Source organism: Homo sapiens, chromosome 10, assembly GCF_000001405.40.
Source record: "Homo sapiens chromosome 10, GRCh38.p14 Primary Assembly".
Taxonomy (NCBI): Eukaryota; Metazoa; Chordata; class Mammalia; order Primates; family Hominidae; genus Homo; species Homo sapiens.
In genome coordinates, this window is record NC_000010.11 from 76277215 (window position 1) to 76305195 (window position 27981).

The 27981-nt window shown below is 40.2% G+C and overlaps 1 protein-coding gene and 1 long non-coding RNA gene across 4 annotated transcripts in view, besides 1 other annotated feature; one reads left to right on the forward strand and one right to left on the reverse strand.

The window, feature by feature from the left end:
- Positions 1-27981, forward strand: part of LRMDA (leucine rich melanocyte differentiation associated) — a 1128545-nt gene that overhangs the window by 845591 nt on the left and 254973 nt on the right. The gene's annotated exons all lie outside the window — the stretch shown is intronic.
- On the reverse strand, positions 30-27802 carry LOC124902462 (uncharacterized). The gene is made up of 3 exons (XR_007062203.1): positions 27765-27802; positions 25036-25147; positions 30-12679 (listed from the first exon to the last, which is right to left on the reverse strand). It is a non-coding gene; the product is annotated as an uncharacterized LOC124902462 (long non-coding RNA).
- Positions 26517-26811: a silencer, noted in NCBI's record as "tiled region #11048; K562 Repressive DNase unmatched - State 12:CtcfO". NCBI's record gives its function as "represses a minimal TATA promoter and a strong SV40 promoter by Sharpr-MPRA in K562 cells {active_cell/tissue: K562}" and the evidence as "EXISTENCE:reporter gene assay evidence [ECO:0000049][PMID:27701403]".

Consider the following 27981-nt stretch of genomic DNA (forward strand, 5'->3'; position numbering starts at 1 on the left):
CTCTGTGATTGGGGCCTGCATTTGGGGAAAAGCCACATTAAAAAAGAACAATAAACCCAGAAATTCACCTCTTGGTGGGTAGCTTCTCCATAAGCCACTGGCTTTTGTTTTACTTTTCCCCATCCTCAGTATCCTTGTATTTTGTGCAGTGTTTAGTTGTAATCAGTGGAAGAGATAGGAGGTAGTGGGCTTACCCTCTCATGCAAGAGGCAGGCTCACATTCAATTAAACTGCATTCAGCTGAGCCCCTCTTTTATTAAAGTCTTGTTCTTACTAAGTTGTTTTATAGCATAAAGCTATTTGGATTTTTTTTTCTGCTGTTCCTTTAGTTGTTGGGTCCTTTTTGTGTCTTTTGCATGATGTGCTTCTGTCCTCCTTTTCCTGGTTTTGTTGTTAGTCTGAATTTTTTGCTGTGCTGTTTGTTTTCTCTCTGATCATGTTTGAGTAACTCTGAAATATACAGTGTGAATGGCTTCTTAATTATCTTCCCACCTCTCATAATATGAGCTTCTTTTACCCTCAAAGTTGCAGTTTGAGAAGTAAGTATTTCATGTTTTGTCCATGTTCTGTAGCTTCAGAAAATGGGGTAGGGAGGAGAATAGTTCAACTGAGAAGGGATGTGATCTTTATTGGAATAGCCAGACTTAATTCTCTCATCTGACATTCTGTTAAACCTTCATTAGGGTTTACTTTTGGGCTTTGGATGATTTCTCTAATTCACTGGGTCATCATGGAATTTTCATGCCCATTAGAGGGTGTACCCAGTTGTTAGTTTTCTGTGTTTCATTTGCTTTTCCCAGTGGTTACTTAATCCATTACTCAGTCAGAAGAAGGAGAAGAGAAGAATGCCTAGATAAAGTTTGCTTCTTTCTAGATTTGGATGCATTAATGAGAATTTTTCGGATTTTGCAGATTCCCTGTATAATTTCTGGCACTGTCTGGGATGAGCTGTACTATACCTCCAGTTAACCCTAGAGTCTTCTGGCTCCTTCATTGAATTCCAGTTTCTAAATCTGTGCTCATGTGTTTACCCAACTCAAAGTAGATAGCTTTTCTCAAATCAGGAAAATGTATCCCTGAAAAGTGAAGTGTTCCTCGGCAGGTTTGGTCATTACTGAATCTTCCGTAAGAAATTCTTTAAAAATATAATGAGATAATGACTGTGAAAGTGCTTTATAAACTATAAAGTGCTCAACGCATGTAAAACTGTGATATTATCATCACTCATGTCCCCTATGCTGCTAATCGTCAGTGGATCAGCCAGGGAGGCAGGCGTTCCTCGCTTCTGCTTTGTTATACTGTCTTATCCCGACCTTGACACTCTGGCAGCAGTGACCCTCAACAAGATAACCTGACAGTCAGCGGTGTCTCACCCACACTATTACCTGCCTTTGTTAGTAGCACTCAGACAGCATATAGGTAATTCCCCATGTTTCTTGTTCATTGTCTCTGTAATAAAACATTTTCTTTTATAGAAATCCTGACTCTAATTTCACAAAAGCTCTGCTATGGAACCTCCTCTGGCCTCTCCCTTCCTCCTGAAATACAGTAGTGTGTGTTTCATATTTGAACTCACAAGCTAATTGAACTTTATTGAAAGATTCTTTTACTTTGCCCAACATCTTTAAATAGTGATTTGGTGCTATGATTAGATACACTCTCAAAAACTATTGTTGCTGGGTAGAGAGAAGCTTCAAGGAAGAATGAAATAAACAAGCATGATGGAGTTGGATGGGTTAGAACAAGTTTGTTTTTCTTATGTGGATATGCTTTTCATATCCACATTTATTTTGTTTCCTTGTCTGAACTGCAAGGTCCTTGGGGATAGGAATAATGACTGACTCAGACTGTTCTGGAAAAATGGAGTATGATGGAGGACATGAGCAATACCTATAATATTATAAATGAGAGAAATAAAATGATAAGGAATTGCTGACCAAATACAGTAACACTAAATTGCAGTGATTAAGAGCATGAACTTAGAGTTTGACCAATTATAGCTGTATGACCTTGGACAAGTTACTTAACCTTTCTAGGTCACATCTGTGATTTGGAGATAATAAGAATATTTGCCTCCTAAGGCTGTTGATAACGAATGTAAAGTGTTTATAGCAGTGCCTGGAACATAATACAGGCAAAAATGTTATCTGTTATCATCATCATCATCATTATTCTTTTATGAATTCTTCCTTGAAGCTTCACAAGGCAAGTACAGGACAAATGAAAAGAAATAAAGTTTACACAGCATGGGATAAGAATATGAGATTTACTATGCCAAAAGTGGTATAGACGGGCTAAGGATTAAAAACTAATAACAAATGCTTCTTTTTTTTTTTTTTTTTTTTTTTGAGATGGAGTTTCGCTCTTGTTGCCCAGGCTGGAGTGCAATGGCACGATCTTGGCTCACTGCAACCGCTGCCTCCCGGGTTCAAGCGATTCTCCTGCCTCAGCCTCCTGAGTAGCTGGGATTACAGGTGCCCACCACCATACCCAGCTAATTTTTTGTATTTTTAGTAGAGACAGGGTTTCACCATGTTGGCCAGTCTGGTCTTGAACTCCTGATCTCAGAATAAATGCTTCTTATAGGCATTGTTTTAAAATGTTACATGTGTTGTCTAATGTAATACTCATGACACTATGAGGTAGTCCCATTTTATAGACAAGGAGACTGAGGCACTGAGAAGTGAAGTAACCAGCCTAAATTCCCATAACTCATAAAGGGTTGAGCTAAGATTTGAATCCAATCAACCTCTGCATTTAATGCCTATTTGTGAGTGAGTGTGTGTGGCAGAAAGGATCCAGAGTAGATGACTGGTGAAATTAGATGTTTAGGCAATGTCTTCACATTTAAGATCATTGTCAAGGAGAAAATTTTGAAATGTATTTTGTCATCAGAAATAATCCAGGGACACGTAGAGCCAAGGCCTGAGCCAGAGAAGAGGTATTTATACTTTGATTCAAGGAACATGAAATTAACCAGGAAAAACTGAAAAGCAATTTAATCCTTAGACTTTATAGGAGTAACCTTGTTGGGTTTGGTGGATGTGATGGAAAGAATGAAGGGCAGGTATTGAGCACAGCTAGGTATGATTCTCTTTTTGCCATCTTCCATTTTAGTGACCTTGAGCAAGCTGGTTCAGCTTGGGGTAGGGGATTTTGTATCCACAGTAGCAGAGTGAAGAATTATATGGAATCACTTTTTTGCACCCTTCAGATTCTAAAACACAAACGTTTTTGCATTGTCTACCCTGATACTGAAAATTATTGATACCCTTGATTTAACATTTATATTCTATCTTATTTTGTATTTTGCACATTGATCATTCATTTATTCAGCCCCTGTTTGTTTGGGGTATGCTTTGAGCTCACTGTGTGACTTTTTTCCTTAATTAAAATTAGTCTGGGAGAGAATGTATTTGCCTCCTGGAATTCTCAGAATTCTAGCAAGGTGCCCTAAACATCATAAGCACACATCAGCACTGTTCATATTGATTATCATGGTACAGTAGTGTATCAAATGCCACCTGAAGTTGAGTGCTGCAAATATGAGAAAACCTCCGTAAAATCAGCCCTCAATAACTTTTCTAGGGAATGTGCCTTAAAAAAAAAGGTACTGGACTGTGTGCTGAGAAAACTGTAAATATGAGTAAAATGATCCCTGCCTTCAGGAAGTTTACCAACAAGGGCACAAGCAACCATTGTAGAATTGCTTGTGGCCTTATTGATATACAGGCTAAGGATTAAAAAATTATAATCCCAGGGATGAAAAGCTTTAGCAGTTATTTAGTCCAACTCTCCACACACATTGAGTCCCCGTTACAACAGCCCACCAAATGGTTGTCTGGCATCTTCTTGAACACTTCAGTGGCTGTGAACTCAAACTGCTCATTCTGCTCGTGGTAGAATGACAGGCTCTCAATTTTTGTGTAGAAGGAAGTGTCTTGCTGAAGAGCAAAGGTCTTTTCTAGGCTGAGGAAAAGCCAAGGAGGTCATCTTGGAGATAAAAATCTGGAAAGTGGAAGTATATGGGAACAGACCTCAAAGGTCCTTTGTTGGAGCAAAGTTACAGAAGTACAAAAGCCAAGGCACGTGGTAGGAACATTAAGTAGTCTAGCTTGGTCATTTGGCAGTGACAGGTTGAGAATAGGGAACAGTGAAATTGTTAAAGATAGACTGGGACTATAATTTGGAGGACCTTGAGTGCCCTCTACTTCTGGGGTACATAACGGCCCTATTGAAAACCCTAATTCTATATCCAATAGGTGGCTCATTGAGTAAATCACTGTTAGCAGTCAGATCTGATGTGTTCCCCAAATCCACATCCTTTATACTCACCTGGACAACTACCATTCCCCCAACCCCCCCATCATCCATGAATTTTCTTCAGTTCAAAGAGACATGGTTAAAGCAGGAATTATGAAAAGGGCCCTCTGCCGGCCTTATTTCCATGTAGATCTATTTTATATGCATAATAACCCTAAGGGGAAGCTGTGTCAATCTGCCTTACCTGACAGACCCCTAAATCCTCCCAATGCTGCCTCCACTATTGGACATGTGCCAAGTGGCTTGCAACCTCAAAGAGAGAAAGCATCCTGATTTTTTGTGTGTAGGAAGGTGGGGGGCAGTGATAAACAGGTCTTGGCCTGTTATTGTCTTCCTGCATGATAATGAACCCATCACTAGCACAGGAATTTAATGCAATGATTTTTCCAAGAACCATCCAGCCCCATTGTAGCCCTGCCTGAAAATGTAAATACACCCTTTCTGGGGACAGATTTGCATTTTTTGGTGAAAGAAATGCATATATATGGCAAAGATGCCTCTGTAATTATAGAAAGTTTATTTCTGTCCCCAGATGTCAGCAATCAAATTCCACATAAATATATTTTGTGTAAATCTGTCGGCAGCTGGTCTCCATTCAGGTTTCTGGAGATATTAGCCTGTCTTTGAGTTTATGACAAAGTTAAAAATTATTCATTAAACTGACCTGCAGTATATTCAGTAACTGGAAAATTGCCTTGCAGTTCTATTTGGTTTGTAGATGTGATCACAAGTAAATTTTTAACTTAATTAATTGGCCGTTTCTGTTGACAAGAAATTTATGTGGTAATAATTTGCTCGAAATAGATGCCGACTGTAGGAAATGAGATATCCATCATAGGCTTGTGTTCCACCAGCTGCACAGTGGCTATTATGAAAGTATTTCAGCCTGCGTCGACCCCAGTGTTTGTGCAGTCAAGATTATATATACCCACGATCCATAGCCTGCCAGAGAGGCGCTGGTGGAGGTCTATGATAACAAAGACTTTGTGATTTATGGCTTGCTGTGAAAGCAGAGCTTGATGAGATTAAACAATTTCATAGCACAAGTGTTTCTCAAGACCTGATTTGTAGTTGCAAGCTGATGGTAAATCACATTTATATATCTGCAAGCGTGCTCAGCAGAGGACTGCAATTACAGTTTAAGACAGCTACTTTTTATTTAATTTTTATCCTGGTTTTGTCTCTTTTATATCCCCTTCGTCTGCAAACCATTCACCTTCACAAGTCCTTTCCTGGTTAGAAGGCCAAAGATTGAAGTCAATGATGTTCTTCGTGTCTTTGTGCCAGCTTCAGAGGGAGGTCCGGCAGATTTCAGAGCCGTGCAGACTGGTTCAAACTGGCTCTGACTGGTGTGAGCTCTTTGTTCAATTTCATGTCCAAACAGAAGTCTGTTTGCTATTTTCCCTTGGTGTGTTGCTGATACTTAAACTTCTTGGTATACAGAGGGAGAAAGAGGGGTCTTCATCATCCTGGGATATAGGGAACTGTGGAGCACATAATGGAAAAGGGAGATGAGGACTAAATTCACTTTAGAACCTCAACTTCAAGGTTGCAGCATATCTTAGGGTGTACAGTTAGCTCCCCTTTAATGGGAAATGTGAAATTGTGTTTCCCCACAGATCTGGGAGGAATAAACTCTGCAATGAGTTTATTTAACCAGTTTATTGATTATCTACTGTGGCCACATGTCTTCACTGAGTACTAGTACAGCAGTATTTGCCCTCAGGCAGTTTGTAATCTACATATGGTGCTAAAACATAAAAATAAGATTGGAAGCAGCAAGATCAGTGATAGCCTTACACGAGTGGTGCACCTGTTGTTGGAGGTCAGAAGGAAAGGGAGATAGAGTTCTTCCCACTGGGGAAGCATGAAGGAGCATGAATGAGACAAGTGCTTGAGGGACAGATCGGATTTCAAGTAAGGGGAAGAGGAAGTTCTGGAAATTTCAGTGATCTGTACTGAAGGAGGCCTCTAAAATACTCAGGTGTGAGTTCAAGTCCAGGCTGGGTGGCCAGTGATTGAATAATTATAATAATAACATAATAATAACATCGATTGAATGCTTACTATATACAACAAAGAGTGCTATATAGGTATTATCTCATTAATCCTCATAACAACCCCAGAAAGGGAGTATTATTGTGATCTCCATTTGGGGAACAGGAAATTGAGGTTCAGAGAGGTTAAGTAATTTGATCATGTTCATCCAGGTGTTTGGTTGAGCTGGTTCAACCAATACCCTGGTGTATTTCACCCCACAGCCTGTGTTCTTTGCCACTGTGTTTCACTGCTTTTCTTTTTCTTTTTAAATGGAGAGGAGGTCTCACTCTATTGCCCAGGCTGATCTTGAACTCCTTGGTTCAAGTGATCTGCCAGCCTCAGCCTCCCAAACAGTTGGGACTACAGGCATGCACCACCACCACACCTTTCTTGTTTTACTGCTGTTAGACAGAGAATATGAATGTAATTAGGGAGGCAATTCCACTGTTCTGCATCCTGGTCACATCTTCAAGAGCTCAGGTCATTTCTTTTTCCACGAAAGTACCTAAAGTTTGGGATGTTATTTTTGGTCTTTGTGATAGGCTGAATAACAATCATCCGAATATGTCCATGTCCTAATTCTTAGAAACTGGGATTACCTTATATGGCAAAAGGGACTTTGCAGGTGTGATTAAAAAATCATAAATTGTGGAGGTTATTCTGCATTATCCAGGTGGGCCTGAGGTAAGCACAACGGTTCCGAAGAGGACTCAGGGAAGTCAGAGTCAGGGGAGAAGGAGATGTGATGAAGCAAGCAGAGATTGGAGCAATGTGCTTTTGAAAATGGAGCCAGGGGTGCAAGACAGGGAACACAGGCAGCCACTAGGAGCTGGGAAAGGCAAGGAAACGTGTTCTCCCCTCACCTCAATTTTGCCTCTATAGGGCCTTTTTCAGACATCTGACCTCCAGAACTCTAAGACAATGAACTTGTGTTGTTTGAAGCTGCTAAGTTCATGTGAACTTGTTACAGCAGCACTGGGAAACTGATTCTGTCTTGCAAATTCCAACCAGCTTGACAGAGAGTTTAACCCTGATTTTGAAATCTTGGGTTTTTTTTGTATTATTTGTTTAAGATAGGGACTGATATGGTTTGACTGTGTCCCACCCAAATCTCATCTTGAATTGTGGCTCCCATAATCCCCAGGTGTTGTGGTAGGGACCCAGCGGGAGGTAATTGAATCTTGAGGGTGGATTTTTCCCATATTGTTCTCATGATAGTGAATAACTCTCATGAGATCTGCTGGTTTTATAAAGGGCAGTTCCCCTGCACATGCTTTCTTGCCTGCCACCATGTAAGACATGCCTTTGCTCCTCCTTCACCTTCCACCATGATTGTGAGGCCTCCCCATCCATGTGGAAATGTGAGTCCATCAAACCTCTTTTTCTTTATAAATTACCCAGTCTCAAGTATGTCTTTGTTAGCAGTATGAGAATAGATAATACAGGGATGCTTTTTGATTTCCATGTTTCCCCATTCTCCCCTCTTTTGTAGCCATAAGGGAAGTGATCATGTCTGTTTCATTCACTCATGAATCTCTGATGCCTAGTATGGTATATGGTATGCAGTAGGCACTCATTAAATATTTGTTAAATGAGTCAAGGAGATTACTTCATCCTATTTCCAGGATATAGTTGGCCAATCTGTCTGGAATTCAGTTTTTTCCACAACTCAACCAGCAAATGTCATAGCTTGCTCTTTATGAAGTCACAAAGGGAGTAGTCAGGCACTCTACTTACAGTTGTCTGCAAACTTGGATATCTCAGTGGAGGGAGGGGGCAGTAAGGCCTTAGGAAAGCCGAGGCTGGCTGAAGAATCTCTAATAAGTCAATGTGAGTGGCTAATTGTGCTAAATATTAAAAAAAAAAAAATAGATGTAACCCTTTATCCTGATAGCAGGAAGGTAGGAGGGTTTAATAAAAAGCATATTGTCTCTGAGACCCTCACATGTTTTCATGCCCGCATTGGCTTTTTGTCTTTTATGTGATAGGTAGGTAGGGAGTGTTTTCTACCTATGTATTATTCCAGGTTTTATGCCCCTGAGGGTCTTTTAGCTGGAGACTTATAGGCATAGTCCACTCCACTGAGTACAGATGTTAAAGTTGCCAATGAAGCTCTTTATGAGGGATGGAGACAGGCCAGTATCTTTGGCCTGGATTCTAGAGACCTGGTTTGAAAATCCTGGGAAAGCTGAGAGCTTCGTTTCTCCCTCTAGAGTACTAGTGTATTAGCCTCCCAATAAAAGTTAATTGAATTTAATTTTATGTTTTAAGTGTGATGCATTTTAAAGTTCTCCCCAGTGCTAGAGTCCCTCTTGAAAAGGCAGTAAATTCATATTATTAAACTACCAAATGTAATTCAGCTCAAATAAGCATATTCGGCAATCTTTATTCTGGATATGTGGGACTGACCTTGCGTTGAGGCTAAATCATTTCATCCCAGACAAAGTCTGTTTGGAGTTAATTGGGGAAGCAGTGTGGGTGTACAGCAGGTCACTCTGGGCTTTTTATTCTCTTTCTGGCCCTCATTCAAAGAGTCGCTGTAGCATACATTTTCTGATGCCAGTTCTTCCATTATTTTATAAATATCAATATTTGACACAGTATGGAAGGTGAAAAAGACAATGAAGATCTTCCCGCTGGAGATTCTTCATTAGATGCCCTACTTTACCATATTTTAAAATGGGCAGTTTGTCACCGATGCATTAAAGGGCTGTAAGGAGTGGAGAAAGCACATTGGGCTGGAAATCAGATGACCTGGATTCTAACCCCTGCCTGTCCATTAACCAACCCGGTGACCCCGGGCTTTTCTAGTCTTGGGGCCTTCATTGTTCCACATTTTTAAAGTGAGAGGGTTGTGAAAGAACAGTGGTTTTCAAACTGCATTTCAAGAGGTACGAATATTTTGTCACTGTATCTTAGCAGCTCTGCTGAGTGACCAGAGAGGGGATGGGGTGAGCAGCAGTTAAGGATGAGACCAGCTGATGGGCTTCAGGCTCTCAGACTCCCACCCCTTTGTGCAGAGTAGCTCACTTCAATAGCAAAAATCAACCCACCATGGCCTAGGAAAGCTTCAAAGATTCTGCCAAACACTTTAGGTGTCTAAGATATTTGGGGCAATTTCTCCCTAAAGTTTGTCAAGGCAGATGTTGGATCAAGCACAATGAATTGAGTCATCCATTCTTTTGGGAGTAGAAATAACTTAAAGGATTTGTTTATTCAGATTTGCTGATTTGTCCAGAGTTTTAATGTTTTTCCAAATTTGTTTCTCCAAATCCTAGCTTTGCCAGCCCATAATGTCATAGCAGCTCTGCGCATCTTGACATGGGGGATCTATAGTGGTAAAAGCAGGCTGGCATCCTCTTCTCAAATGTCTAGCACTCTCTTTACTATTATTTTATGTACCTCAAACTTTATTATTATGTCCTCTATTATTAATGGCAGAGACAATGATATAATTATTTATGCTGGAACTCATGCTTTTGAATTTATTGGATAGAGATCTTCTGAAACTAGAAGATATAACATATACTAAATGTCCCCTCTTATCCCTAAGGGATTTCTTTTATCTGAAACCTCCTGTTTCACTTATCTCTACATTTTGGTGGTGAATCTGGTTGTGGCTTCTTCTTTATTTGCCATCTGCCTGCCCCACTCTCAGCATACAGGTGGCTGTGGACTATCTTTATTCATGTAATCTTAGTTTTGTTTCTATCTAAACATCCCATTTGTCAAGGGCCAGACCAGATTTCATCCTTATAGGAATTCCTGCCCAGCCACTCTAGATTCCACAAAGATCCTGTTCTGAATTCCTTCAGAACCTAATTGGGACCAAAAATGCTCCTACTGTATAACACAGTGTCTTATACTATTCATTATTGGTTTATTTTTCTTAATCTAACTTGACTCTAAGCAATTTGAGGACAGAGATCCTGCAATTCTTTGGTATCTTCTGTAGTGGTAGATATTTAACATAATAACAAAAGTATTTATTATAATAAAATAATATTTATGCCAGCCTGCTCCTGTTAGGAAAGGCAATGCATTCTTAGTGAGTGGAAATAAGGTGTGTTTTGTTTGGTCCACTTTTTAACATTGTATTCATAAACACTCTCTGGCAACACCATCATTAATTCATTTCCAAGAGGAAAAAAAGTTCTTGCTAAAAATAAAATTCTGTTCCATAAACTCTGTAAAAAGACCAGCAAACAAACAAGTCTCCTCTGGAGGAACCACAGCCACACCAGGCCCTTCAGATCTAATAAGAACCTTAATTCCATTTGAATATCTTTGTTGTGCTGCACTACGTGGTTTGGGATTCATTTTGCATTAGAGAAATGACAAAGACCCAGAAAACAAGCACTGAGTCAGGACTGGTTTCAAAGAGCTCAGCTTCTTCGTTTAATTTCCAGTTCATTTATTTGAGTACTGTCAAAAACCAAAATTTCAACATATTTAGGTTAACAATATAATGGCCTTTTATTAGTGATTCATGAACTAGGCAGCATCTTAATCTAAAAATAGAAGTGCTTTGTTGGAAATGGAAAAAAGTCAGTTTTTGAAAAATAACAGATGCTGATGAGGTTGTGGAGGAAAGGGAATGCTTATACACTGCTTGTAAATTAGTTCAGCCATTGTTGAAAGCAGTTCGGCAATTTCTGAAAAAACTTAAAACAGAATTACCATTTGACCCAACAATCCCATTATTGGGTATATACCTAAAGGAATATAAATCATTCTACTATAAAAGACACATGCACGTGTGTGTTCATCTCAGCACATTTCATAATAGCAAAGATATGGAATGGAACCTAAATGCCCATCAACAGTAGACTGGATAAAGAAAATGTGGCACATACCCACTATGGAATACTATGCAGCCACAGGCATGGGCAAAGATTTCATGGTGAAGACGCCAAAAGCAATTGAAACAAAAGCAAAAATTGACAAATGGGATATAATTAAACTAAAGAGCTTCTTCACAGCAAAAGAAACTATCATCAGAGTGACTCCATTTTGGTTTGGTCTGTTCTGTTGGGGCCTAGTGCAGGAGCTCAGTCTAAAAGCATGGCTTCCCATAAATTTTATTTAACAGTAGAATTCTTCAGTACTACTACAATTCTTTTTAAATGCTATGACCAGATTTGCACCTCCAACCCCAAACCCCTCAATGTTAGTTACTACAATATAAGGAGAAACTGTGGTTTCCGTAGGAGAAAGGAAGAGATTCTTGGAAAATTGCTTGGGATGTACAAAGCCAGAGCCAATCAGTCAATCAGAAAACATGATGGAGGGCCAGCCCCTTGCAAATCAAATGAAGCCTTGCTCTCTGCCCATGATGATAAAGATTATGTTACAAGAACAGTTTCCTCCAATAAAGTAGTAGTTATGGAAACAAACAAACATAAAAGATATTTAATATGTTCATTCCACAAGGGTTTATTCAATAATTTAATGAATGAATAATTTATTAATGGTTTGCCCAAACCAAGGGCAAGGACATATTACAGTGGAAGGTGGAGGTGGGATGTTGGATTTGCATAAGATTAGAGAACATTGATGGTATCTTTCTCTAGGAAGGACAAACTTGGCCTGTGTGGTGCTGAAGCAGATATTTCCAGAGCCTTCCTCAATGAGGGGGAAATTCGGAGAAAAGAAACAAAAAGTGGACTTGGACTTTACTGAATTGTTTCCCATTCCCAAGTTTTTAATATGTACAGACAGAAAAATAGACAGTCTCTTTTTGACACCCTAAGTTGTACCTGCCAAATCATCAGAGTGGCAGAATTGGCCTCTGAGAATGTGAGGTCGCCTTCTTTTATGACTATTTCCAATGTTATTTTTTTCAACATCTCCTCCTTAGTGTTTGTAATGCAGAGAACACTTAAAGTGCTCCACAGACATGGAGCATTTCCATTACCCTATGCAGTATTACAGGAAGTAGTTTATAAGGAGTTCAATATTAGGAAGAGTTATCTAATAAAACGCATTGTCTAATCTCCCTATTACAGGCGATATTTGGATAGATCCTGGTTAACTATAGTCTGGCATTTTCAGGAATACATTTATGTGTACGGTGAGGCATTGGGCTTGGTGTCTTCCAATTCCATACATGTAGCAAAAACCTGGTGGCTGTTTCTCAAATGTGCCTCATAACTGACCAGGCAAAATGGATCAGTAATTGTCCTGATGAATTGCCCTTTAATTACCCTCTTTCAAACCAATCCTTTTCGAGCATCTGATGGTGCCAGGTTATTGACTTCATGTCTTTAGGTTTGGACACTTTTTGGGCAGGATTATTCCGAAGAACCACGATCATCTAGAGGAAAACAGAGGAAGTTTCACTGTTGATTCTGAGAGAAGAATTTTGAGGGGGAGCATTTACATCAGGTTCTCCAATGCCTGCAAGGCTTCTGCATTTCTAGTCCCAACAAATTCTTCAAAATTTTTAGGACAAGATTAAATTGTAACCACTATTAACTGTGTGCCTAGGTCCATATTCATGCATACCTATCCCTGCCTACTTTGGCAGAATGAGTTACCAGTGTATGTAGCAGAATAAAACAGACTTTTAGGGTATCCTAAATACTCCCAAACTTTATTGTTACAATCTCTTTAATGGGCCTTATCCTTCAGGTGAGTCAGCTGGTTTAAAGAGTTATGTAAGGTACATTAGCCCTTAAACATATTTCCCAAAATGCTCAATTCTGAAAGGAATTTATTTCCTTGTTAAGACTGAGTTGAAAAGCATGGGTCTGCAGCAAGACTGAATTATTTATATTAGTGATTTCTTATGACAATCTTATAAGTAACTGTACAATTTAGGTTTATTTTCTCTTTTTTTTTTTTTTTTTTTTTTTTTGAGACAGAGTCTCACTCTGTTGCCCAGGCTGGCTGGCGTGCAGTGGTGCGATTTCAGCTCATTGTAACCTCTGCCTCCTGGGTTCAGGGGATTCTTGTGCCTCAGCCTCCCCAGTAGCTGGGATTACAGGCGTATGCCACCACAGCTGGCTAATTTTATATTTTTAGTAGAGACAGGATTTCACCATGTTGGCCAGGCTGGTCTCGAACTCTTAACCTTAGGTGATCCACCAGCCTCAGCCTTCCAAAGTGCTGGGATTACAGGCCTGAGCCACTGCCCTCAGACTCTGTCCTCTATTCCAATGGTGGTGGTTAGGTGGACATTTCTAGAGAAACCTGTCTTACTTCTTATAAGGAGGTGCTATACCTTCAAGGTGGAGACATACCTTGCTTATTTAGTATATAATGAAGAGATGAGAGACCAGTTGACTCTGAGAAGTAGTATGGGTATGTGTGATGTGAAAAAGAGTCATGAACTACTTTGCTAGTTTCAGATGTAAATTAATGTTGACCTCTAATTAAAATCTTTCAATTTATATATAATAGCTCAAAGAAGAGCGAGTACCATGACACTTTAGATGATGGTTTCAAAATGACGGGTTTTGGGAGCACTTTTCTTTGGTACTTCAGCCTGATCCTCCAAAAAGGAAACAAGGATTTATTTTTGCTCAAGGAGCGGTCAATGAGTGTTACTGCAAAATGAATCTGAAGTTTTTCTCTGTCTTAGGAGGGATGCAACATTCACAATTTCTACTTGTCTGTCTGCTGTCTTCACCCTCCCTCCTCCCTGTCTTTCACTGTTGGGTCTCAAAATAAATAACACAGACACTTCATCTTTAACTTCAGATAATCAGAGTCACAATCATCTGGGATATTGTGATGAACAATGTACATTTCATACACATGATGTCATAATAATTTAAAATGTCATCTCAATCTATTTATGATCTTCTAATGACTGAAATGTTTTACAATTGTGGGGGATATTTTATAACTGAAGTTTTAATGGCTGAATCACTAACACCTGGCTGTCTGGAATGCTTTTCTTTCTCCTAGTTAGGCATTTAAATGCATTTCTGGAAGGCCCAAGGGGTGGGATGTGACATATAAGCTCTTAAAAGGAGGAAAATTAGTTCTTGATACCTTAATGATCAGTCAGGTGAACGTTTGCATACTTAGCATTAATGCTCTTAAGTGGAATAGCTTGATTAAGACCCTTGGTAGGATTTTTTTTTTCTTTAAACATCCTTCTATGTGAGATTACAGAGGGAAATGCTGCTATTATGCCCATCCCTTAAAAAAGATCTTAGATTTTTCTTAAGTGTTTTATTTTCTAACTCTATTGTTTTCACTACTTTTTAGTTTTCTATCTTTGGTTTCTAAGACAATCAAGTTACCTCTTTATTGAGAATTTAGTGTATATTTTCATTTTGCTGGGCTAATATGTATATACAGATTATATATACACCCACACGTGCACACACACACACACACGTGCACACACACACACACACACACAAATTCTTGTCCCTGGATGAGCATACAGTTGCTTAAAGAAGACCAGACATATACACATGAAAATGTCAGTGAACCATACAAGTCAATGTATAATTAAGCCCATAGCAGGCCCCCGGTGGATGTTTACTAATGATGATAGTGGCACTAAATTATCTGGTGCAGGCCAAGAGAGGTCAGTACAAGGTTGCCCAGAGGCCTGCATTAAACAATCACTGAGATAAAGATGCATTTTAGTTCCTCCTATCTGTACAACATATATTAATATATAGCCTTCCAATGCAACATCCCACTTAATTTCCATAGTAATCCACTGAAGGAATTCGAGGTGTATATCCACAGTTTGGCAGAAGGGAAAATAAAGGCTTAGAGCCATCAGATCACTTGCACAACCAAGCTCACAGAGCTGGGTGGTGACGGAGCAGAGCCTGGACTCCACATCCTTGGGACCCTAGTCTGCTTTTTTACCCCACCATGTTGCTTCCAGTTCACAGGGTTTCTAGCAGAGTCTCTTTAGGCTAAATTGTTGCCTTGAATGGGCAATTTGCTTGAAATGTAGCTGGATGTGCAGCATCTTTGCTCATGTTGTAGCCAGGAATATAATGGCAAATCTCTGTATATTTGTTTCCAATGAAGATTGACTACACTGATGAAATAATGATAGGCTTTACTTCCATTTTTATCAACTAATGGTGTTTCTGGTGACAAGTCCCCATGATACTACTTTATGACTCTTTATGCACACGCTTGTGTCGCTCCTGCATTCTAGATAGATTGGGCTGATGTTACACAGGCCTGCTTTGACTGACACCAGAAAGCCGTGTGACAATTGGCTTGTAGATTGGACAGTTAATATAGAGAAGTGTCATACTATCCCAATTGGGCATTAAGATGCCATAGACATGGCTAAACAGGGTGGCTCCATCTGTGAACAAAAGGCCACTCTGAAATGTCAGAAACCAAATAACTAGGACTGCTGTGCTTGCAAATTTGCAAAATGGGGAAACAGTGTGTGTATTTAATTATTTATTTATTTATGATGGATTCTTGCTCTGTCACCCAGTCTGTAATGCAGCAGCACAATCTCGGCTCGGCTCACTGCAAGCTCCACCTCCCGCCTCCCAGGTTCATGCAATTCTCTTGCCTCAGCTTCCCAAGTAGCTGGGACTACAGGCATGTGCCACCACACCTGGCTAATTTTTGTGTTTTTAGTAAAGTCATTGTTTTGCCATGTTGGCCAAGCTGTTTTTAAACTCCTGGCCTCAAGTGATCTGCCCACCTCGGCCTCCCAAAGTGCTGGAATTACAGGTCTGACCCACCATGCCCAGCCTAGTCTGTGTGCCTTAATCATTGTATATCTTTAGGCAAATATGTTATCTCTTTAGCCCCATGTCTGTAAAACGAGAGGGTAATGTTTGCCTTATGATGCTCATGTGTTGATTAGACTACCCAAAATGGTAATTTTGTTGAAACATTTAGAAAAATGTGAAGAAGAGTGATACAAATGATGTCTCATGTTTGCATTGATGTCATTTCAGATTTTTGCTTCTAAGTATCTTCCTAGTGGCATCATACAGGTGATTTGGCCTAGGTTGGTAGCCATAGTTTAGCTTTTACAAAAGACTAAGAGTTCCCATAAACATGTGGTTTGGTTCTTTAAGTTCAAGCCTTAGGGAGATAACTATGAGGAGTTAGGGGTCTTTGTAATTAGTCAAATTAATGAGCCAAAGGCCACATGTGGCAGAGTTATCTATGATTTCTGTAAACATTATAAAATTCTCATGTTACCTTATCTCTTATATATAGGATTCCAGCTGGGCTATGAAAAATGGCTCAAACCACCATCTATTCCTCCCATTTATCTCTGAGAAATAACTCAAGACCCTTAAATCTGTTTACTCTCTGGTTTGTTGTAACATTGTAATATTTAGCTTCATGTCACTCAGTCATAATTAAACAGTTCACATTCATATTCTCCATTATTGGATTTAGTAGCCATTCTTTAGCCACAGTGTGCACTTGGAGGTTGTTTTGGTGCTTGTTTTTAATAATGCTTTCTTGAACTTCTACAGTAAATACACTTTCCCACTCCACTGGATAGGAGAGGAGTTGACAAGCTGGGTGTTCTGATATTGGCTGTGCTGATGTTTGCTCATAAATTCATCCAGCAATCTCTTGCGGAAAATACGTTCTAAACTTGGTATTAAGTTTTTGGGCCTATGACCAGAGTGAACTCATTTTGTGTGTGTGTGTTTGTGTTAATCCTTCCAAGAGCAATAGGTTCACTTGGATAGTTCTTAGTTTCTCTTTTTAAATTTCTTGATTAAGCTGAGAGAGTTCACACTGGAAACTCTTTGCTTTGCTGATTGCTCCAGACCTAATACAAGTAGATCTTCAGGGGAAAAGCAACATGGCTCATCTAAGTATTTACCTTTATACTGGTGAAGTCATCTCTTGGTGTCTATCTTCATATTTCCCAAAGAACGTATAAAACACATCTTATTTCCTTTCCTAAGTCTGAGGCCTTATCCATATATTTTAACTTCAGACTTGAATTTGTCCTTGTCCCTGACCTAGTAAACATTTTTATCAAGAACATGTAAGGAGCTGGAAAAAGGCCTTTTTTATTAACTTTCAAAGTATAAAGTTGGAGAGGTCAGAACATTCCACAGGTTTTAGATCATGGTTCCAAGTGGTCCCAGCAAGCTAAAACACTGCCTGACACCTATCAGACAAAATTTAATAGGATTGTAAGTTAGAAGTCCTAGCTTTATATTTTCAAAAATCTATTATTGAAGTATGTGCTTGAAAGGTCTGGCTTGGCAGTGTTTCAAATCAAAGGCATTGGGATATTTTATTTGACTGAGGTTTGATATATACCAGCGTAGACTATAGCTTGGGAAGGTATTGCCAACTTGGATGTGATGGAGGCTTTGGGTCACATTGTCTTCTTGGGATTCATACAGTTCACCCATCATCTAGAGGACTAGGTTCAGGTCAGAGGTTCATGTTTTAGGAAAACCAGAAAAACTAATGGGGATCTTCAGGAGAGGCACTAGGCTGTTGAGTGTTACGGAAATATTTGGCATAGAATAGAGGAGATTAAGATGGTACATAGAACATTATCTCAAATAGTTGAAACATTATTGTGGGGATGAGGATGTAGCATTTGTAAAGGAGAAACCTAGGACTATGGTTTAATGGTATAAGGAGGGAAGTTTTGGCACAATGTAAGAAGAAAGTTTTATTAAAGGATCTTATTAAACAAAATGATATTCTTCCTTACAAAGATGTGGGTGCTGATTGTTCTGGAAGAGCTAAGAGCAGAGCTGGAAGACCATTTTTGTAAGGCATTGTAGAAGAGATGTCTACGTCTGTGTGGGAAGCTGGACAGGTCAACCTTGCAGGATGCAAGGACTCATTTGAATTCAAATTCATTGTTATACTGAGAATTTCAAAGTTTGCCTATACATTTTCAGTCATTTCCTTGTTTGTATTCAGGTTATTATATAGCATTCTCAGTTAGAAATATCACATGGTCACTAAACCTGGATACCAGGCACAGTTTGAGTTTCTAAAAGTTGAATGAGCTTTCATGGACACTGCTGCCGCCACCTCTTTGGGTGTGCCCTCTGCTTTGCTTTTGTGGTAGTGTCACGGACATGCACTGGCTGATTCTAGCTCTCCTCTCTGGTAACCCTTATAACCAATAAGTGCTAAAAGGACTATAGTATCCCTATTGCCTTTCACTGCCCTCTAACTCTTGCTTAAGCTATCTCTGCCCCACCTCCTCTAGCCCTCTTCAGTTCCACTTTCAGATTCTCCCTTGACCCTTCATTTTCTCCTTGCAATGGAAATCCTACCATTTTTTCCAAGGCTCAGCTCAATTCCATTTCCTTCCTAAAGTCACCTCTTTGCTAATCTTCACTCATGCTAATCTTCACTCATCCCTTTCTTTGGGACTGATACATCTTTGGAATTATCTAGCATAGTGCTTAATTGTTTTCACATTTTCCTGTCTCTTAATTTTATCTCCCAATCTCCATAGTACGTAATTTGGGATTAGGGACTTTGCCTTACTGAGTACTGCATGAATACATTTTATTGATTTACTGATTTGATTACAAATATGATCACCACACAGAACCAACTGGCTGAAAAGAATTGTGCCCTGACTTTGGCTTCATCAGCACAAGGTCAAAACTAACCAATTTATTTAAGTATCTAAAGGATAGGGCATCATGTGAATTATATTAACTATCAAATAAGCCTAGTTTGCTTATTATTTAGACATTCTTCTAAACCCTAATAACCCCTTGTCATCTCTGTTATGAGGCCAAGGTTGCACGTTTAGAATAGGTTTCTGGAAGGCTAAGCTGCAGAGCCATAGGCAGATGTGCTGCCACTCCTGCAGGCTTATTCACGAGGTGGAGAAAAATTCTCTTCCAAGTCCCTGGCTTCCCATTGCAAAGTAAAATGATCTCTGGTTTAGAGCTACTCAAAGGGTTAACTTTGACTCCTTCACCAAACCCAACTATTTAATGTTTTTAACGGCATAATGTGTTAATAGCCATACAGCTGTTGTTTCTCAGCCTCTTCCTTTATTGAGTTAGACACCATTTAGTAGGCTGAGTTCAAATTGTAAACAAATTATTTTTGCATATGGATCAATGGAAATTTAATAAAGTTTATTAAAACAGTATATTGGACCAAGGAGTGCTGTTTTCTCTCATGGATATAAACCAACCTCATTAGACCAACCCATAGTAACAGAATTGCAGGGAAGAAAGTATTTCTGGTCATTTAAAGATTATTTTGGTTCAACAGATGGTGACTAGCATCAGAGTATAGTTTTTCTTGTTTGTTAATTCATTTGCATGAACATATTTGATGGATACCTAGTGATCCCAACATGCTTGATTTTAGTGCCTAGTGTGCTTTCTAGCACATAGCAGGAAGTTGATAGAGTTGTCACAGAGGGGATTGTGATCTCAAGTGCAAAGAAGTGGCGTGAGATGCTGAGAGTCACACAGCTGTTGATGGGCAGAGCCATGGAAGAGCCTGGAGCTCTGAGCTCTCAGTCCAGTGCTCCTATCACTCACACAATGGCCCTCCCTTGATTCACTGCCTGTGAAATGTCTTAAATGATCCGCAGATACCTTCTGCCTGTTCTCATGGCAATCCCAGTTTATGTTGCAATAAATGTTATCTTAATCTCAATTGATTGATGAGTTCTTAAAATAACAGCATTACCAAAGTTCCCACTCACATTGTAAATCGCAAATATTCCACTCTTTGGAAAGCATTCAGGGTGGCTAACCACTATTTCAGATATGGCTTGGGCAGCCCCACTCTTGTAAGAGGTATCTGAAGGGGCTTTTACCAGAAGGAGCTAAATGGTTATCAGATAACTTAGAGTGGGATACAGGGAATTTGTAGTAAAGGCCTAGATTCCGCAACACAAATACTGACTGCCCTGTGGATTTGAAGTTAAAGCAGAAGAGAACTAAGATGGGCCTACTTTTTTGGCCCTGAGTGACAGCAGTTGGCAGAAGCAACCCTTTGGGGTAGTAGAACAAGCTTGGAGTTGTTCATTCCAGCTTCCTTGTGTCAGAGTCACTGTTAAGTAGGAGGTCGTTCTGTTCGACTCTGGTTGGAATCATTCTGTGTCTGGGGGCCTGTCGTTTCTGTCATTCTTCCTGGAAAGTAGAATCCTAAATATGGGCAGCTGGTTTGGACTGAAACCTTGGTGACTTCTGAAAGTTATAACAAATGGAAGTCATTATCACCATTGCCCCCCTTTACCTTTGTGCTACTTGAGGCAGAAAATGATTTCCCCCTCCCCCGGTTTGTTTTGGAGTCTTTCATCCAGAGAGAAAAGGATTAGCCTATGGCTACAATAGAGCTTTCAGGGCCTTTTGGCGTGCTGCAAATGTTTACTTATCCAGGTACAAATAGGTAAAAGCACATAGTTAAAGCTTCCAGCTGCAAGGTCATTTACCTTTTTAAAATGCAGCCGCATGTGCCGACTGAAGTCGAGGGCTTGCTGGTATGAGCCATTAACTGCCTGTTGTACGTAACCTCTCCTTGTCTTACACACAGCTGCGTGCGAGCTGCTGGTGCCATGCAGCCAGCCCACCATGCATGCCTTGCGAGCAACAAAAGCAGTTTAACTTGTGATCACTGATCATATGATCCACTTACAGGGTGCAGGCTCAGTCAAGTAGAACTGGTAAATCATTAAAAATGCGCCTTGATGCTATGCCTGCTGAGTAAAACATCATGCTAACATCTCTGCCTCCCACCCCCAACCAGTTAGCAGCATAGGGAAGGAGCTGGTACCAGCTGCATATTGGAGAAATCCAGTTGGCTGAGCTGGACGTGGTGAGAGATTGTCAGCTGCTTCCAAGCAGCATTGGAGAGGAAGGCAGGAAGACAGAAATAATCTGGAGTGGCTGCCATCCTCTCTCCTTGTCCTTTACTTACTCATTAACTGAGCCTGTGCAAAGGGCCTTCTGTGTCAGGCCTGGTACTAGTGCCTAAATTACAAAGGTAGGAGAGGAAATGAACTCTGACTTAGAGACTCTCAAAGTCTGTCAAGAACTCAGTCACCACCAAGTACTTTCACATAGGCACCCATGACGTGCCGTGCAACCCTAAGAGGCCTGGGGTAGCCAAAGAGATGATGCTTAAGCTGAACCTTGAAGAGTGAATAGAATTTCATCAAGGAAGCATGTAGTTAAAGGAACAACATGGGCTGTGCCTTAAAAAGTTACTTTCTAGAATTCTTTCTTCCATGAAGCATACCATTCTACTCAGTTTCTTATAGGTTTTAACAAATTGTTTTGTGACTGTATGATGGAAGGTCCAATGGATCCTCTCTTCTCTCCATCATGTGGGTCTAATTGTTTCTGGCATCATGTTACTCAGCTATATAAACCCTTCTGGGATGGGACTGTATCTCTTCAGTATTCTTGATTTTCCTTACAGCTCCAAAAACTTGGGGAGTGGGTATTGTTGGTTGGCCACCTTCTTCCATTTTCTTGATTAGAAATATTTTCTTTGACTTATTTTCCTTAGAAAATAAGAAATTATTAAATTAGAAATTAGTTGCTTTCACTTTTAACTAAGGCAATGAGACAGAACATACCAGATAGATGTTCCTCCTGCATATACGTCAGGAACATCTGCTGTTAGAGAAGAGCCGTGTGTGTGTGTGTGTGTGTGTGTGTGTGTGTGCATGCACGCACGCGCAATATGTTTTAAGTATATTGTGTGTGTCCATATGTTCTGGGATATTGAGGTTTCTCAGGAGTCCTGCAGTTTGCATGGCTGATACAACCTTTAAAAATGACTTGGACTTCCAGAGGCTCTGGAGAGTAGGTTTAATAAAATGTTCATTCCTTTAGATGTGAGACTATGCCATTTTACTTTATCTAGATACACCACTGTCTTCCAGTTAATCATAGCCCTTAAATACCTTCTTTTGCTTCTCAAAAGGTTTTACCTGGACCCAGAAGTTCATACAGAAGCTAAACTTTGGGAAGAGGTCAGATGTGGAATCCGTGCTCCCTTCCCTTTTTATACTTGCTCTGCTCTGCTTGTACAATGAATGGTCAGTTAGAATGCCTTTGAACCACCCCCCTTCCTTTCTTTTTTTTTTTTTTTATGGGACTCATTCCTGCAAGGACAGTTGTTTCCTGCAGAATAACTTTCTCATTCCTCTCAGGACTACTGCCTGGGGGCCAAAACTTGCTAATTAGAGGGTTGGAGGAATCTTCGCAATCTGCTGTCTTCATTTTCAACACCAGTAAGAGCTAACCTTTGGCTGGTTGTAGGAATGAATGAGTTTTGTCCTCTAGAAAGATGTCCGTCTTCATTGTACAAAGAAATGGAGGCCTGAGACTCAAGCTTTGTAGGATTAAGATTCAGATAAAATCGGACAATTTGCTCAGCTTTCTGCTTTACATCTTTGTAAAGGAAATAATACTTCCTCATACCTCCCCTAACTTCAACCCAATCTCTAAAGAAATGAGAGAAACTCTAAATCTGTTCTAAAACTAGGGGTAGTCATGGCATAATAGGTATGAAAGATCTGTTCTTATCTCTTCCTTGTATAGGGGCAGATATATAGTGGCAGAATTGAGAATAAACCAAACAATTGAGTGTTTTCAGTAGAAACTGATATATGACTAACCATGTACCTATGAACATATTTGATTGGTGGTATTTAAAGAGTTGTAAATATTTCTCATTAAAAATAGACTGTGAGATCTGTAGTCATCAAAGGTGGGATTGCCACTTGTGGAGGTAGAACTTTGTTTTATTTGAAATCAAGAAAAGTTGTGCAGCTACATTTGGGGACACTCTGGGTTGTTGGCACAAAATTTAAACTCAGGCTATCAGGAAATTCCTCAGTGGGAAGGCATTTCACAAAGTCGAGATATTATCCATTGATCATGGTAGGAAAGCAGGCAAGAAAGCTGTGTTCTATCCTGGGCAAGCCATCAATGCCTGGGGAAGGCCCTTTATTTCCGTCTCTGTGTTCTCATCTGTCTAATAGAGAAGTTAATACCTTTCCAACATACTTCACATGTGAAAATCAGACAGTGTAACAGGTTCTCTGTCTTTCTCTCCTGGAACAGATGAAATCTCTTCCATCATTCAGACGCTAGGCTGTTTTGTTTGGACTCTCTTCTATGGGCATTTGCCCCAATCCCTTTTTCTATGGTAGTTATTGACTTATCTCATTTCCTCCTACAACAGTGTAAGTTACCTTAATTTGCAACAGTTTACTCCTCTCAACATGGTGCAAAGAGCACAGCACTTGCATCAGGAAGCCCTAGGAATATAGAATCAGAATGGAATTCTGTGATGGAATCCAGGCACTTGGTTTCCCCAAGAATACCATTGTAGGATTGTTCTATCTGCCCCACCATCTTGTTTTTGGGAGTTAAACAGGAGGGCTTATGGGAACATGCCAAGTACATAGTACATGCTTAGTAACCATTAGGCTCCTTCCCTTAGTTCTTTGCTCATAGTGGCAACTTAATATATGCTTTTGGACCAATCAAATTTTGACAATGAGGAGGAAATCCATGCTATTTGTTTTTTTTCCTTCTGGTTAAGATGTTCAGGAGAGAAATAGCCCTGCCCTCAGTTATATTAAAAATTTAAAAAATTACCATTTCAATTGTTGATACAAAGTATTTTTGAGGTCTGCAGAAGACACAATGCAAATTTTATTAAGTTACCATTATCCTTGTCAGTGAAATTAGAGCATGTTTCTAATCAGTATCTTCAGCAATTACAGACAACAAGGAAATAACTCATGCTGTTATATGAAACAGCTTATAAATTTTTACATACATGTGAGAGGAATCACTTGGAATCCAAAGCTGCCAAGAGGAATAATTAGGAACCACAGAACAGATCTTGGTAATGTGACAGCAGCTTCTAAAACATCCCACAGGACGAAGAAGCGCAAGCTGGCTTGACCTATATCTTTAATAATACAGATCATTGCCCTTGGATTGAGGCTAAAGGGTAGGACCAAGTGCTTGCTTCATCACGTTTTAGGAAAAATTGCCAAAGTATATTTATGAATTCACCACACAATGGCCTCTTGCTTTGATTATGAACTGACGGATCTCTCTAAGTAGCAACTCAGCATGCAAAATTTAAAACAAAAAAACCCACCACAGAGCATAATTTCTTATATTCTGTCATGCTTGGCAAAAAGTATTATGTAAGACCCAAGTAGACAAATGGCTGTTAACAGTAGAAATAACCTTTTGTTTAATTAGAAAATAGGAGCTATATGGGATAATAAAAATGGTTACTGATGCCCTCTGTCACTGTTTAATAAATACGATCGCGCTAGAGATAATGGGAAGTGTTATTTATTTGTGCAATATCACAGACTTGGTAATTGTTCATGTTGTTGAGCATTTTCCTGTGTGGAGATCACAGTAGTTTTAGAATTTGTTTCCTTTGATCTAAGAAAAGGAAATAGCAAGTTGTTTGCTTAAAATGTTCATGGCCTCCCTAGGCTGGAGTAAAGTATCTGCATATTTTTAGCCCCTCAGTTTTGAGGACAGAATCTCTGTGGCGTTGTCTGATGCATATTGAGAACTGGTGCGTTATTTTGAACTGGCTCTATTTTTTTTTTCCAGAGCGCCCTCAGGTGCTCATGGAACATACTTCTCAGCAATGCCATTTCATGTTCAGTTCAGATTTTCCAGCACAACTAAATTTAGTAGCCTTGCTGGAGGGAGGAAGTGGAGCAGAGCTACCTACCTGAGGATGTGTTCATGGGAAGAGAAAAATCTCCCTGTTGCTCCATCTTGAGAACCAGCATATGGGATGAAGATCAGACTGAATTTCCACAGCATGTGTTTCACTATCTTCCCTGGGGGGTGGTAAGGAGAAAAGGCTGAAGGTGTTGGCCATGTTTCAGGGTCACTTCCATTTTGTGTTTACTGTGAACACTTTAGTTGTGAGACTGTGCCATGTATTTGGGGTCATCTGGCTAGATTTATTTCATTGCACATGGCAGTTCACGCTTGGTTTCTTTTTTTTGGGGGGTGGTGGTGGGGATTCTGTTTTCTTTTGTATTGTGATTGCTGGAGTGGATACTCTTGTTTCTTGCCTTTTAGAGAAAATGTTTGTGGTTTGTGATATTGGATGATTTATTTCTTATTATGGCAACCTAAGGATTTTTCACTGTTGACTTTGGTGATTGTGAGATATTTCCTCAGACCCTGAACTAACACTTGATTCTTCTCATACAGAGAAATCCACAAAAATGAGATATGGCACAAATTTGTATAGAAGTGTTTTGTGTGACCACTTATTTCTGCAAGTCCTAAGTAGCCCTTTCTAGAAGGTTTCCATGTAATACCTTTATAAAAATATAGACAGTTTGTTAAAAGGAAAACACAACGCAACAAAACCCCTTTTCTTCACACAATTCATTTTAAGCTTCAAAATCCCTGAAAATCCCCAATCTCCTTTTGCAGTCTGGTTCCCACTCTAACTTTCCTCATCTCCCCCTGAAAGAAAGAAAAAAGCATTTCTTCCAGGGACTGATAAGTTGTAGGCCGATGCTTAGCAACAGCATTCCTGTGCTTTAAGTAGCTGCAAGCCCCTTGCTGAACTCTTTGATGTGACTGTCAGGGCAGATTTATTTTGTTTTAGCACATTGTCTACTTGTCCAGATGTATCAGGAGATAAAAAGGAGTCATGTTTACACTCCTCCCTTTTTTTTTTTTTTTTTTGGAGATGTAATTAAATCGTGTTTTTGATGAGTCTTGGGGAGCTCCAGTTGAAGAAAACAGGAATTGGCTGGAGTAAAGGGAAGAATGAAAACTTGCTTGGCAGAATGAACACCTGACTGCGTCAAAAAATAAAGCATAAGTACCAGCTGGCGTGGTTCTGTGAAGCTGGAGGTTTTGTTCTGAGTCTTTTGTTCCACTTCTGTGGAAGTCCAACCAAGAAGAAGGGAGAGGTGCCCGTCCAGCGCTCACTTGCTGGGCACTATCTGTGAAACCTCTAGCTCTCAGTGATCTCTTCTTTCTTACTGCACACAGGCGCGCACATGAGGCCTTAACTCCCTTCTTCCACTATCATTTAGTGGGTAGTACATCTGTGATAGATAGTTGTCAATCTAAGCTAATAAAATTGTTGAACTCCAGTGATCTTGAATAAACAAATCTTCACCGAGCTGGATGAGTTGAATTCCCTGGGAATGGGATTGCCACTCTTTTTTTTTTTTTTTGGTGATCAGTTTTTTAATGTGCACATTTAGTAACACCATTCTGAGTTCTATTAATGACCTGCAGTGAGCAGTGACAAGCAGGAATATGACATTCAGTACTGCTGAGGACCTGCCAGGCAGCGGCTAACACGCTCGCTTTCATCTGCAGCTCGGGAGACACTCTATTTGCATCCTAAATAGGTTACACTACAGCACCCCCTTCTGCCGACTGAGCTGTGTGACAAGAAGGCCTCACTACAACTCAGTTTTCTCCCCTGATGACAGCCCTGAAGGCCCTTTCACGGCTTTCTCTAACCTTTCTAGCCTTCCCCTTTGGTCCCTGGAGGAGCACAACAGTGACTAATGGTGTGCGTACCTGCACTCCTGGGGGCTTCATTTGGATTATACTTTTAATTACTCATTCATCAGAGGAAAGGAACAAAAACCATCCATTGAAGGAGACAGAAAGATGGGTATAACAAAAAGAAAGCTGAGCCAAGCAGGTGCTACCTTAGATCACTCCTGGCTGGGGTCCCTCCTGCCAGATCCCAAATCCCAGACAGACGCCACTGAATGCATCTTAGAAACTACAGGCTTGGTTTTGTGTTTCCCATTTGTAGCCCAGTCTGAAGTACAGGAAGGAGGTTTTCCTTTGTTTGTTCTAAACACCTTTTGGATGACTCCATTTGGCAGAAGCGCACCTTAAACTTGTAGTCCTTTCACATACGAGAAATCAACTGGGCTCTGCTAGAAAGGGGTGTCCACATGGGGAATTTTGGAGGGAGGAACTATGCATGCCACCTGTCCAACACTGAGAAGCCCTGTTTGCAGGGGTTGGGGTATGGGGTAGAGAGCTCCCATCAGAGGACAGTGCAGAGGCTGACTTAGCCTGGGAAGATGTGGACTTATTGTTATCCTCCACCCTTGGAGGCCAGGGAATGCTATTTGTTCAATATTTTAAGTTCATTTAATTTACCATTTAGTATTTATCGAGAAGATACTATGGGCCACCCAGGTGGAGTAGGGCGCTGCCCTCAAGGAGCAAAGTGTCTAGTAGGGGGACAACTCAGGCAAAGCATGTTGGGAGGGAGTTAGGAAGGAAGACTAGGCTTTGCAAAGATCTCCAGCAGGATGGGGCACAGTGCCCTGCGGGAGCAGGAGAACACCACGTGATGACTCTCAGGGTGAGGAGTGAAGGCAAAAGAGAGGCTGAGAAGGCAGGGGCTGGGGCAGAGGGCCTTCTAGGAAATGGATGGTGCTCTTTGCTTACCCCAAGAGCAAGGTGAATCACTACGTTTTTAAGCAGAGAGGCCCCAGTTTCCTTGTGAATCTTCGTGGAGTCCTTTGAGCTCTGTAACCATCTGGGTTACAGGTCTTCTTTGTGTGTCTCACTACCATGCCTTACCCTTCTGTAATCTGTCTGTGCAAGTGCACTTGCAGGATAAACCCAGGAGCTGGAGAAAGCAGAGGAGTTTCTGTGGCCGTGT